This window comes from Homo sapiens, chromosome 14 (genome assembly GCF_000001405.40).
Source record: "Homo sapiens chromosome 14, GRCh38.p14 Primary Assembly".
NCBI classification, from domain to species: Eukaryota; Metazoa; Chordata; class Mammalia; order Primates; family Hominidae; genus Homo; species Homo sapiens.
Genome location: NC_000014.9, coordinates 30,585,372 through 30,599,781, shown reverse-complemented (window position 1 = coordinate 30,599,781; position 14,410 = coordinate 30,585,372). Strand labels below are relative to the sequence as shown.

General features: G+C 35.1%; 1 protein-coding gene across 10 annotated transcripts in view; it reads right to left on the bottom strand.

Annotated features, from left to right (window-relative positions):
- G2E3 (G2/M-phase specific E3 ubiquitin protein ligase) overlaps positions 1-14,410 on the bottom strand; it is a 60,907-nt gene that overhangs the window by 20,283 nt on the left and 26,214 nt on the right. For 4 of the 10 annotated variants that reach the window (NM_017769.5, NM_001308097.2, XM_047431554.1 and 1 more), the window contains 6 exons: positions 12,967-13,064; positions 10,298-10,399; positions 7,335-7,459; positions 6,143-6,308; positions 2,256-2,362; positions 1,183-1,299 (listed from right to left, as the gene is read on the bottom strand). In NM_017769.5, coding sequence (NP_060239.2) covers positions 1,183-1,299; positions 2,256-2,362; positions 6,143-6,308; positions 7,335-7,459; positions 10,298-10,399; positions 12,967-13,064 — 715 coding nt within the window. Of the gene's footprint in view, positions 1-1,182; positions 1,300-1,381; positions 1,413-2,255; positions 2,363-6,142; positions 6,309-7,334; positions 7,460-9,117; positions 9,251-10,297; positions 10,400-12,966; positions 13,065-14,410 lie in introns of those variants that run through there. The other 6 variants (XM_011536926.3, XM_047431552.1, XM_047431556.1 and 3 more) reach the window with 3 other exon arrangements.

Here is a 14,410-nt window from a genome sequence, read left to right as displayed (position 1 = left end):
AATATAAAAAAGTTAAATAACATATATTTTTATTTCCAAAATGTTATAATTTTGTTCAATATGTAATCTACATAAAAATTATTAACAACAAATTTTAAGTTATTTGGTCATGTAAGTTCTTTAAGTCGTATTAAAATAATATGACTATGGGCTGAAATGTGTCTCTCCCCACTTCATATGTTGAAGTAAATCCTAAGTCCTAGTACATCAGAAGGTGACTATATATGGAGATAAGGCCTTTTAAGAGGTAATTATGGCCGAGCGCAGTGGCTCATGCCTGTAATCCCAGCACTTTGGGAGGCCGAGGCGGGCAGATCACGAGGTCAGGCATTTGAGACCAGGCTGACCAACATGGTGAAACCCGATCTCTACTAAAAAATACAAAAATTAGCCAGGCATGGTGGCATGCGCCTGTAATCCCAACTACTCGGGAGGCTGAGGCAGGAGAACTGCTTGAACCCGGGAGGCAGAGGTTGCAGTGAGCTGAGATCATGCCACTGTACTCCAGTCTGGGCAACAGAGCAAGACTCCATCTCAAAACAAACAAACAAAAAAAAGAGGTAATTACAGTAAAATAAGGTCAGATAGGTGGGCCCTAAACCAAATGACTGGTGTTCTTATAAAAATAAAAGAGATTAGGACGTAGACAACACACCGACAGAGGGACAACTCGTGTGAGGACATAGCTAGAACACAGCCATCTGCAAGCCAAGGAGGGAGGCCTCAGAAAAAACCAAACCTGTCAATAACTTGATCTTAAACTTCCAGCCTCTAAAATTATGAGAAAATAAATTTATTTTAAGCCACCCAGTCTGTGGCATTTTGTTAATGGCAGCCCTAGTGAACTAAGTCTTTGGTATGTATTTACAGCACCCTTGCAATTTGGAAAAGGGAAATCTCAAGTGCTCAACAGCCACATGTGGCTAGTGGCCACCAGATAGGACAGTGTGGCTCTAGAAAATAGTCTCGTGATAAGACAACAGAGAAATAGGTTACAACTATACTAACTGCAAAAATTTCTCTGTAAACAGACGTAAATGTGCATTAGAAAATATCCCTCATCTCAATTTAAACTTCTAACATCCTAAGAGAAAAACTACGTTTCACTAACTATAAAATCTACTTTCTCAGCAGAAGGTTTAAACAAGGAACCACTAAGCACAACTGAACTTTCAGAAATACCTATCAGGTGCATTATAGTCTCGCCCTTCTTTGCAACGACATCTTCGAACATCACAACGCTCATAGTGCTGCAGAAGCTCTTGATAAGCGTTTTCCTCTAATTCCCAGGAAGCATCTCTATAAAAGAAGATATAAAATATGCTTTGACCTATAAATAATGTTACATAAGAGGATCAGGAATGAATCTAAAAATAAAAACCTTTTTTTGTTCTTGAGACGCAGTCTTGCTCTTTCGCCCAGGCTGGAGTACAGTGGTGCAATCTCAGGTCACTGCAACCTCCGCCTGCCGGGTTCAAGCGATTCTCCCTGCCTCAGCCTCCCAAGTAGCTGGGATTACAGGGGCCTGCCACCATGCCCGGCTGGTTTTTGTATTTTTTAGTAGAGACAGGGTTTCGCCATGTTGGCAAGGCTGGTCTTGAACTCCTGACCTTGGGTGATCTGCCCGCCTCGGCCTCCCAAAGTGAGGGGAGGGATTACAGGCGTGAGCCACCATGCCTGGCCTAAAATAAAAACTTTTATATACTTAGGAGAATAATAAAACTTGTCCTTTTCAGGATTCTCTTTAAGATATAAATCCATTAGTGTTATTTTATCATACAGTTAATTAGTCTCAATGAATTTTCACATGCTAAATGAAAAGTTAACAAGAAATTTTTTATAACACATTTTTCCAAATATTTCACTTTCGATTTTTAATTTTAAGTTCACTATCATTATTTCTGGATTCTTCATGTTTAAGTATTAAAAAAATTCTTACATATTTTAAATCACATCTTGATTCTCTTAATTTATACATTTTGAAGCCTATTATAAGTGTACAAAGTCAATCAATTAAAATTGGACATAGCTGAGCTACTTATAAAGAGATTATAAATCAATGAATGAGACATTTATGACACAGTCCCTGCTTTCCAAGAACTGGCCATGTGGGGGAGGAGAAGGTTTTGCATTTCACCATTTGAAATGGCTACCTGTCCATGCTCACTGAATCAGACATAAGTGATCATTTCCATTGCTATTAAATCCTACATTTAAAATATCTTTTTTTTATCATAAGGCTAAATGTTACTCACTTTTCAGGAATATGAATTCCCATTCTCAACATCTCTTTCTGAAAGATGTCACTATTATTGCATATTGTACACCTAAAGAAAAACACTCCCGCATTTATTGCTTGAACCTACAGTGGAAAATAAAAAGTCTACTGTTAATGATTTAAATCTGTTATCAGGTGATATATTATGTAACAGAACATGTGCTATTTTTAACAATATATTATGAAAACATTTTCTATGCTAGTGGGTTCTCAAACTTTGTCCTTATAAACTAAGTTATCCCACTGCTAAAATCTATAATTCTTTTTTCCAATGGTTAAAAAAAAAGCTAATTAATACTTAGCTTTACATCACCCATATATTTTTTTCAATCTTATTGTGCAATGTCATTTTACTTACTGTGTAATGTTACTAAATGTTGTGTTGCCCTTTAAAATGTGAGAAAAAAATGAAACTCCTGAGTTACCTCATCTAGAAATGGGGTTTAAATGTTACATAAAAATCATCACTGGTTCTGTTTTTAACTCAATCTCTAAGACAGCTTTCTTCCCAAAACGGGAGAAGTATAAAACCTATCCTCATTGCTATAGCAAATACAGATACAGAAGCACCAGACAGAGGGTACTCAGAAGGAAACAGGAAACTGTAAGCCTACTGGAAAGAAGAGCCAGTCCCCAGTAAAAACTAGTAGCATGCATTTATTTAACAGATAGTTAACTCCTGCTTTATAGATGCCAAACACCATGCTATGTACCAAAAATACAAACAACATTTGGTATTATGTACCAAAAAACATGACAGCTTCGACTTCAAGGAATTCTAGTGAGTAGGTATACAGGTATAAAACTACAATACTGTGTAAAAGTATGTGAGTATTTTAAGTATACACATGAAAGAAACAAGAAGGAGTACCTAAGTCTATACTGATAATTATGTCAGAGGGTTAGTAAAGCAAAAGCTAAGTTTAGAAGAAGAAATAGAGGTTTGCCAGGAAAATAGGACAAAAGACATTCCAAGGATGGGGAATAATATATATGAAGTTTCCCCGGCAAGAGAGAGAATGTGTAATTAGGAAAATACAATTAATAATATAGTTAAGGATTACATTCTTGCCAAACTGAACTAAGTAGAGGCTAGGTAGGTAAGTTAAAGACAGTAGTATGAAGAATAAATTGATAGGGACTAAGGCCCTAGAGAAAGACCAACTAGTGGTCTCCTACCAAAAAGAGTGTCTGAAATTAAAGCAGTGAGAGTAGGATTACAATAAAAAGGATACACAGAATATACTAAGTAGACTTGATTACACTTGGGGAATGATTTACGGATGGTGAAGAGAGAAGCTAATAAAGAGGATTCCAGGTTCAGACAATTAGCAAGTGACACACACACACACACACACACACACACACGCACACCCACCCACCCACCCACCCATATAAGGGAGGGAAACAACAGGTTATTGAAATCTCTGAACCTAAAGGATATTTGAGCAATTGCAGACAGATGCCAAGATCTTTAACTAAATATGGTATACGATAAAAGGAAGTATCTGGTATAGAGGAGAAAAAACAGGATAAGACACATGGAAGATACCAACAAGACTAGAGCAATGATGGAAAAATCCAAGCTGAACAAAAATAGTGACAATTCTGTAGACACAGAGTGGAAAGTTTTTACCAGTTTCTTTGATAGCAATCTCTAGTCTCTTCTCCCAAAATCCCAATGTATATTATTTGTAGTGGTTACAAATAATGACATTTGTTTAACCACATACAGCTATCTAGATTGGATAAGACTCCATATGTTATTTCAGTTAAGACCGATACCAGAGTACAAAAGTTATTGGAACTCCTTTAGAGAGAGTGACTCAAGAATTAGCCCCATCCTTAGTATGCTCTAATCGAGTATAATAATAATTGCTTAGTGATATTTCTTACATCATAGACAGGTGTCCATGTGGCTGTGATCTTCAGTTATATTTGCATAAAGTAGACCTAGTCTTTTTTGTTAGTAATATTATTTCTACTTTTTTAACGACAAAATTAAAACTCAGTATTTTCAGAGTGTTCACAAAAGGCCTTAATGATACTAGGTCAAGTATGAGAACCTTTCTTTGCTTAATTATTAACAAATAAATGAGAAAAATCTTATGAAAAATAACATACTGCTACAAAATTAACAAGATGACACATTTGGCAGCAATTATATTCATCCAAATACAAACCCTTAATTAAAACAAATTACTTTTTAAAGATTCTCATATAATATGAACAGGTAAGGATAACACTTCACAATGTTGTTTATTAACTGCACTCTCTAGGATCCTTTTATAAACACCTCTTTGCAAGTATTAACCGAATTTCTAATATTTCCCCAACAAAACAGGCTTCATCCTGCATTTTTTTTAAAGACAGAATCTTGCTCTGTCGCCCAGACAGGAGTGCAGTGGTGCTATCTCAGCATACCGCAACCTCTACCTCCCGGGTTCAAGCGATTCTCCTGCCTCCGCCTCCTAAGTAGCTGGGATCACAGGTGTGCACCACCACGCCCAGCTAATTTTTTTTTTTTTTGTATTTTTAGTAGAGAAAGGGTTTCACCATGTTGGCCATGCTGGTCTCGAACTCCTGACCTCAGGTGATCCGCCCTCCTCGGCCTCCCAGAATGCTGGGATTACAGGCATGAGCCACTGTGCCCTGCCTTCATCCTGCACTTTTAACTGAATAATCCTAAGTATAAAAGTTCAAGGTCCATACAAAAAAAAAAAAAGGTATCAGTCAAACTTTACTACTTTTAGTACTGTTAGTATTTTTAAGACTTTATTGAAATAAGAGAATTTACATCTTTTTTTTTTTGAGATGGAGTCTCGCTCTGTGGCCCAGGCTGGAATGCAGTGGTGCCATCTTGGCTCAGTGCAAGCTCCGTCTTCCGGGTTCATGCCATTCTCCCGCCTCAGCCTCCCTAGTAGCTGGGACTACAGGCACCCGCCACCATGCCCGGCTAATTTTTTTTTTGTATTTTTAGTAGAGACGGGGTTTCACCGTGTTAGCCAGGATGGTCTTGATCTCCTGACCTCGTGATCCACCCTCCTCGGCCTCCCAAAGTGCTGGGATTACAGGCGTGAGCCACCACACCCGGCCTACATCTTTTAACTTTTAAAAATATGTCTGTGGACAATTAGTAATAATAACCTTTCATTTTAATAAACAATAATAAACTTTAAAAAACAGTATTAAACTTAAGTTCATCAGCTGGCACTTTCACATGTACATATTACATATTTGATGTTACTAATAACTGGAATCTTTTTCAAGTTTTCAAGTATTTTCAGAATCAAAGAATTATTAAATTGTCTAATGTTATGTCTTATCATATTCTATTTACTTGAAAAGTAGTAATAAGGTTTGATACGTAAGATGACTCTCAAAGAACCAATATTTTTAATTAATTGACAGTAATCAGCTCCCTGTTAAGAAGTTATGGTAAAGTGCTTACCATTGGGAAGAAAAGCCTACTAATGTTTAAATATCTTAACTTGCTATCAAGCTTCTTATCATTTCAAATATCCTGGTTTTCCAGCATAAATATGTAAATGAAACTTAGGAATTAAAATCTAGTTTATTCATTGTGAAATCAAACAAAATCCTTAGGTAAAAACAACAAAATTCTTTAAGTATAAATATACATTAAAAAGTTTCATCTGAAGTATTTATTGAATGTTAATTGTATACTTAAATAGGGTGAATTTTGTATGTAAAATCTGCTTCAAATTAAGTGCTTTAAAGCTGTTTTAAAAGTAACAAGTAGTAAGAGGTAATATACACGTCAATTCTTTCTAATTTAAAATTTAAATCAGCAAGCCATAATTTTATATCAATCAGAGAAAGCTTACAAAATATGTATCTTACCTGTAAACAGTCTCTATGAAACCAAGCGTTCTTACAACAAGGACTTCGTAATATGTTATAACTTGGAATAGGCTCAATAAATTCCAAGCAAATGGTGCATGGTAAGGACTCTCTATAATTATTAGATGTAATTATTTGAACAGGTCGATGGTCCCAACAAAATGACCTAAAAATGTAAATTATTTTAAAAAAATCTCATGAACTGCAAAGCAAAACTTGGAAAACACTGTAATTCACATATATAAAATGAAATTCATTTGTGTCTGTCTCATAATTCACCTACAACAGACTGGAGCCTTGGCACTAAAAATTAAGTCTCACAATCTATGACCAAGGAGAGAGCTGGACCTTCGAAATCTGAACTTTTCTGGTAGTGAGACTTACTTATACAGAATTTCAGAAACTAATAATTATGTTGAGAATCCTGTGTAATATTGTCAGCAATACAGTATATACATTATTGTATTCAACAAATGGGTGCATACGTTGTGCTCAAAATCGTATAAAATTAAGGGAGGCAGGAACTTACGCCTAAAAAATAGTTTAGTCATATAACACATAAAATGCAATTAATAACCTATTCCCAATTCACTTTATTTCCATTTGTATTTTCTAAACTGTAGTTTTCTTACATGATAACAATCCATTAAATAGGTCAAAAACACAACTACTAAAAGAAATGGAATACTTATGATACCAAAAGTCAAAATTCATAAAACCTTGATGTTTAAAGTTGTACTCAGGAAGCAAATATTTTCAGGGGTATCCTAGGGCATAATATTTACTTTGTGTACTCAATCAAATTTACATGCCTTTGATTTACTCGAAATGCATACAGCCCTGTGAAGAATAAGTCTACAATAATTCTAAAGAGTGACACAGAAATCTAGAATTATGTAAAGGTGGAGATTTTCACTGAATTATGGATAAATTAACAATTTCATGTTATATCCAAAAGCTGAAAATTGAAAATGAAAGCTAATCATTAGGTCCATCCTAGACATGGTAATTCTCAAGACTTGGCACATAGAAATGACCCCATAAGGGTGGGCGGGAGGGTAATACATATAATGTTATATCTAAACTCTGATGCTCTAAACAGAAAATTTATTGTAGTATTATATCATTGGGATATGTATTTTCCACTATTCTTTAACACTGAACTTTCATATTTAACAGTTAAATAACTCACGCAAAATTGCCAGTAAACTGGAAAATACATTCTCTCTGAAGTCCACATGGGAAATGATAACTTCGTTTACATCGGGGTGCAACACATCCAATTGAAGCACCATTTTTCTTGCAAACACAGCATTTCTAGAAGAGTATGTGAAAATAGGGGTCACAACATAAAAAATCTGAGTATTATAATATGATCAAGACATAAATAAATACTCCTGGTGGGGAATCTGAAAATTATTTCATCATGTAACAGCTGTGGTAAGGGTATATTAAATAAATTTCCTGAAAAACTGTTCTACCCAGAAACAATCTAAAGACACCAAAGATTCACTCCTATAACAATTTCGATAAAGAAAACATCTCTAGCCTAACATGTGGATAAGACAGAGAAGCCCCTTTTCCTTCCTACTAAAATATTTTAAACTGAAGGGTTTATAAACATAAAAGCTATATACATAAACACCTCATTGAAATCTCAAGAGAAAGCACATAAATTAGGCAACACTCACCAAGAAGAATAGGAAAATACTATAAACCAATTTGTAAAAAAGGCTAAGATCACTCTATTCTGACCAAATGAAAAAGTGTTGAGACACCTACAGTGGATTTAGAGTGGTCTCCAAAAAGTTATGCTCAGGTCCCGACTCCCAGTACCTGTGAATGTGAACTTACTTGGAAATACGGTCTTTGCAGATGTAATTAAGTTAAGGATCTTGAGATCATCCTGGATTTAGGGTAGTCCTTAAATCAAATAACTGAGGTCTTTACAAGAGAAAGGAGAGGGAGATTTAAGACACAGGCATATACAGAGAAAGGCCTGTGAAGATAGAAACAGATTGGAGTTATGCTGCCACAAGCCAAGGTACTCCAAAGGTTGCCAGCAGCCATGTGAAGCTAGGGGAGAAGCATGGAATCAATTCTCCCTTAGTGCCTCTAGAAGGAACCCTTTTGACACTTTGATTTACAATTCTGGCCTCCAGAATGGTGAGAGAATAAATTTGTTTTAAGCAGCCAATTTGCTATGGCAGCCCTAGGAAATGAATATACTACCAGTGCCGCTAACTGAAATGTAACAGTGGTACATAAATAGAAAAATTATTAAATGAATCAATCATTAGCAAAATACAGAACAGTACCTAAAACACCTTGGAACCCTTAAGACGGCAATTAAAATGGTCACTGATTCAGGGATTACAGAGTTACTGCTGACCCCTTTGAGCACCACCTAGGTCACTGGAGAATACCTGCCAACCCGAAACTCTCCCAATGAACTGACAACAAGGAATTCTAGTTTGAGTTCACAAATGAGACTCTTCTTTTCAAGGGTTCACAATATACTTGGAGAGGATTCGGATGTTTTAAGAAAATAAGTACAGGTTGAATATCCCTTAATCCAAAAATCTAAAATCCAAAATGCTTCAAAATAGGAAACTTTCTGAGTGCCAACATGATGCTCAAAGGAAATGCTCATTGGAACATTTTGGGTTTTGGATTTTCAGATTAGAGGTGCTCAACTGGTAAGCAAATATTCCTAAATCTGAAAAAAATTTCAAATCTAAAATTCTGGTTCCAAGCATTTTGGATAAGGGATATTCAATCTGTAGTTCCAAACCATAAGGGGACCTTTAGAGACCACCTTTTACCACAAGCTCACTATCACCAGGAAGTTTAGGAATTATGATACTAATATCTCACGTTTAACATCTCACGTAGTCCTTAGATTCATGCTCACCTTTCTCCCACGGTTCTTCCTTGTGCCCTAGAACCTCTGTTTTTACCATTAACTCTCCTACCTTCTTGATATCTTCAAAAATAATTGCCTCCACTTCTTTGCCTCAACTAAAAGAATAAATGTTTCTTATGTGCTTCCCTTGTAGACCTTCTTGAATAAAGCTGCTTATTTTTCCATCCTCCTTAATTTCCAGACTTGACATGGGGTGGGACATGGACAGGGGCAGGAAAGGGGACAAAGAGAACATTATTTTAGTTCTCTGTTGAATATTATAGGCCACTACTTGATTTTCACACTTTGAAAAATTTGGACCTTTGAGCCTAATGACATTTACCCTTCTGTTATCTGCTAACTTCCTAGTCACTCCTCCACCTCAAGACTTTGGCATCTGTGGAAAACAAAGTCTAAACAACTTCAGCATTTATGGGATAATCTTTCTTTGACTTCTTCAACTATAATGTGTCAGTGTCCTTCATTTCCCCTCCAGTGTAATGATGAATCCCTTCATCACCCAAAATGCTCCCCCATGAAAATCATTAATGCCAGTATCACATTCTCTAAACAGAACTCCCTGTACTTCAAATCTTCTCATTCTTTCTCATTATTTTTACTTAGACAATATGGAGACGTTTCCCTGCATACAGCATAGTGGCTGTTATATAGAAGATGCACAAATGATAACTGAATGAGCAAGGAGTTAAAGTTTAGAATGCCTATCCTAGAGAATAGAAAAGGGTACTGAATATAATCACACAATGTTAGAGAAGGGTCAGGAGATATGGAGATCATGAATTGCCAGTCTGGAAAGCTGTGTAATTTCTAACTCAACCCAACATTCCAATCTCAGAAACTGAGGTATAAGAATAAAAAAGTATATGGTTGGGTTGACTCAGGATCAAAGGTTTAGAGAACAGCAGAGTGGAGTTATGATCATAATTCTGATGGTCAGAGAAGATTGACCATCAGATCATAATTCTGATGGTCAATTCTGATGGACATGTTGGAATAAGATAAGGAAGTGAAGTCAGTATTGTCACATGTATTATCCAGGGTCAATTAAGCTTTCTTTAATGGGCAAAAATATAAACTGTCCTCCTAAAACTTACCATATTTAAATGACAAAATATGCATTGAAACCTATAATCAAAGTCATAAATTTCTAGTACAGAAACTGATAGAAAAGACTTCCCAAGTATTGACAATATTTATGACATTACTTAATAGTAAAATAATTTACTTACCAGTTTAGAAGCTCTATTCACTTCCTTCCTGATATCTTCTATTAGAAAACCATAAACTCCTTCTTCTTCTTTGCCTCTCTGCCAAATTCCACTTGACATCAACTATGAATATATTCTCAATTAGAAAATAAACTCTAAGAAACTAGTTGGGCATTAAAAAAATATATATCCATACTATTCAGTCTAATAAAAAACAGACATAAAATGGCTCAAATTTCAAGTAGTTATCTATAGTAGTTATTTTTCATGGTCAAAGTAAGAGGCTACTTACATTGTTTGATTTAGATGGCACTGTATATTATCAGTTTGTATATCCTAATTAGTTTCTAAAAGTATTCCAGGAAGTAACAGAAAAAGAAAGAAAAAGAAAAGATAGGAAAGAAGGCAGTGAGTGGTTAGGTGGGTTAGAGGAAGAAAAAAAGAAAGAAAGAACACCTACAATTAAGCTTAACAAAAAGGAGTGGTGAATACAGATGGAGACAATTCAGATTAATTCAGTGACATTTCAGGCTAACTCTAAATCTAGCTGAATTCTGAATCATTAAGGCATTATTTACAAGAAAACCTATTGAACCCTAGTTAACATAAATGTTTGATTTTAGAAAGTTTCCTTAACCCCCAATGTGACAGTAATAAATGTTTGACTTTTTAAAAATTTGACTTAAGCTTCATTGTTTATACATGTTAAGAAAGCCTGAATCAGAGAAAGTGTAGAATGTGAATAAGAAATCCTGGCTTGCAAGCCAGGCTCTGCTGAAACTTCTGGAACCCTAGGCAAGTATTAATGTCTCAAACCTTAAACATGAAAATAAAAACACTGGATTAGACTATATCTAAGTCTCTTTCCGCTCTAGCATTCTATTGCCATTTGTAACATCACTATACTTTTCTGTTCATAATGAAATAGAATATTAAAAGGGTTAAGTCTGGGGTCAGTACTTTTTTTTTAAAGTATTATATTCATTGAATAAGACAGAACATAAGAGAAATTTTGATCTGATCAACTTAAATGTATTACATAATTTGAAAACACCATGTAGAGCAAATTTGTGATTAGAATTTTAACCAGTATATCGTAAAGAAAAACAAGTGATAACAAGTGATACACACTAAGAATTTGTTATGAAAACATAACCTGCAGACACATAAAATGGCTCTCCTAATTCTACTGCATAAAAAGTAAAATAATACTTTTTATTTTACTTTTTATAGAAAAAAATAAAATAATCCTTTTACTTTATAGAAAAGTAAAATAATCCTTTCCTGACTGAAAAAAAAGTAAAATAAACTTACAAAAATGGAAAGATTTTCTTTTTACTGCAAAACATAATCGTCTGTAACTTATAAACATATTTGGAATGACAACTTCATGTTCTCTTATAAATAAGCTCCCAGGCCAGTCTACTACTCTATTTAACCTTTGAGGTACGGAGGCACAAGACTGTAGTCTTAGAGGACCAAGGAATACTTCAGGTGGTTTCTCAAAGAAGCACTGAAATAATTTTAACATGGATGGTGGTAGATTTGAAAATATGTCCACAATTTGTTGATACTTCAAGAAGTGGGGCTTAATTCCTCTTGAGTGTGGGCTACTAGACTTAATGATTTGTTTCTAACAGAATAAAGCAAAAGTGACATTAGTGTGTGGCTGTGATGACTAGGTCATATGGTTCCATCTTGATTTCTCTCTCTCTGTCTCTCTCATCACTTGCTTTGGGAGAAGCCAGATGCCATGCCACGAGTAGCCTTATTTACTAAGAGGCCCAGGAGGTAAGGAGCTGAGGTTTCCTGACGCTAGCTAGGAGAAATTGAGGCCAAAAGCCACATGACAGAGCCATCAGAGGTGAATGGATCCTGCAACCTAGTAAAGTCTTCAGCTGTAATCTGACATCTCAATGATAATATCATGAGACTCTGAGCCTGAACTATCCAGCTCAGCCAAATTCCTGACCCTCAGATACTATGTGAGATGACAAACGTTTTATCTGCTAAATTTCAGAATAATTTTTTAAGCAGCAGATAACTATATAGTATCAAGAAACACTGTATGTACTAATGCAAGCCTGGCATGCTAAGGTGGTAATGTGCCACTAATATCTTAAGGCATGAATTCAGTGAGGTGAGAAATTGGTGGAGGGGAGGGGGAACAAAGGGAGACTAATTCTGAGTATGAAATCACTCGTTTGCTTTCTTCTGAGTGATACATAAAGTAACTGGTTTCCTTTTCCAAAAATATTTATCACCTTTAGCCAAGACGTTTCTTTTCAGGTTCTGTGTGAAATAAAATACTTTTATTCCACTCCCTGAACCCTCAAACAAATCTTTTCTCAGATTTATCACTAGCAACAAATGAAATAAGAAAGTGGTAAAAGAAATACCTCCTTTATAGACCTAATCATTTTTTCCTTTTTTCACTTAGGCCTTAAACAGAAAGAAAGAAAAACAAACAAACAAACAAACACGAAATAATGATAGGTCTTTGTATGTACTAAGTAACTTCAGAATCTTAGAATTCAATATCAAAAAACAAAATGTCTATTTTTAGAGATAGACAAAATGAGATCTGGAGAAGTTAAATGACTTATCCAATTCTCAGAAATCAGTGTCAGAATCTTACTATCTTCTTTAGAACACCAAATTTCTAGAATTTAATTATAAATTATACTCACCAAACAGTAGTAATGTACAGTGAGATTCCATTTCTCCTTAGTTTTCTTTTCTCCGTATTTATTAGGACAGTCATCATGTTTTCGACAGAAAACACAAGCTAACAGTGAAAAAGTAAATAGATATAAAAATATATTTAAATATTTCAAAAAAACCCTATGGAATTGGTGCTTCTCTAAATTTCTGTGTTAAATTCTTTCTGAGAGCAAATCATATAATATTGATATCAGTAACTTAAAATTTCCAATACCTACTTCTGAAACATTAATGTAACTTTATGTTCTTCACCAGTCTTTAATGATGAATTTCACTGTGTAGTTAAAATGGCAATTTATGAAGTAACGTCACTGAAAATGACACACTGGGGAACTACAAAACTCTGATTAAACTGCCAAAAACTGTTAGAATTAATTTTTAGAAGCTGTACAATCTAAATAAAAACTTACAAAAATTAGGAGAATGCTTAATGAAGAAACAAACTACTAATTTTGATGAGAACATCTTAACTTACCCACCTACCATTCCCCACTGCCCAGCTGGGCAGTGGTCTTGGGGTGGCCCGTGTTCCTGGTGCAGATTACTGGTCCAAGAGGGGGTAAAATGGACCTTGTTCTTTAAAAAATGTGATTGTTTTGACCTGTATGATGGCTCCCTGAGGGATGAGCTCAGATGCTTGCCTTTCTTTCACCTGCCTCAGAACTTTCTCAGGGCTGGAGCCTCTGCTGTTTGTCAAAAAACATTTGAAACAAATATACTAGCTGTAGCAGCCTAGGACAAGGGATAACAGATAGGGAAAGCAGCAGATAGACTGAAAGGCATAGGAAAGAAGAAACTGGGAAAAGAGGGTACATGAGGGAATAAAAATTTGGAAAACCTTCTGCATAATAACTGGAGAATCTAGAAGTCCACATGCATGCCCAGAGATGTACACATACTCAGAAATGACCCAAGAAATCCTAAGCTCTCACCTCTGGCTGATGTTTAGGCTCATGCAAGCCTATGTTAAAAAAGAAAATCCCAAATCAATAACCTACTTTTACAATTTAAAGAACTAGAAAAAAAGAAGAAACTAAACCCAAAGCTAGCAGAAGAAACAAAAAAATAAAGATTAGAGTAGATATAATCAAAATAGAGAATGGAAAAACAATAGAGGGAGTAAAAAAAAAAAGTTGGTTCTTTTTAAAGATCAACAAAACTGATAAACCTTTAACTAGACTAACCAAAAAAAAAAAGGGGGAGAAGATTAAAAACTTACAACAAAACTACAGTAAGCAAAACAGTGTGGTAGTGACATAAGGATAAACATATAGATCAATGAAAAAGAAGAGTCCAGAAATAAATATATACATCTATGGTCAAATGATTTTCAACAAGAGTGCCAAGACCATTCAATGGTGAAAGAATAGTCTCATCAACAAATACTGCTGGGACAATTAGCTCCTTACA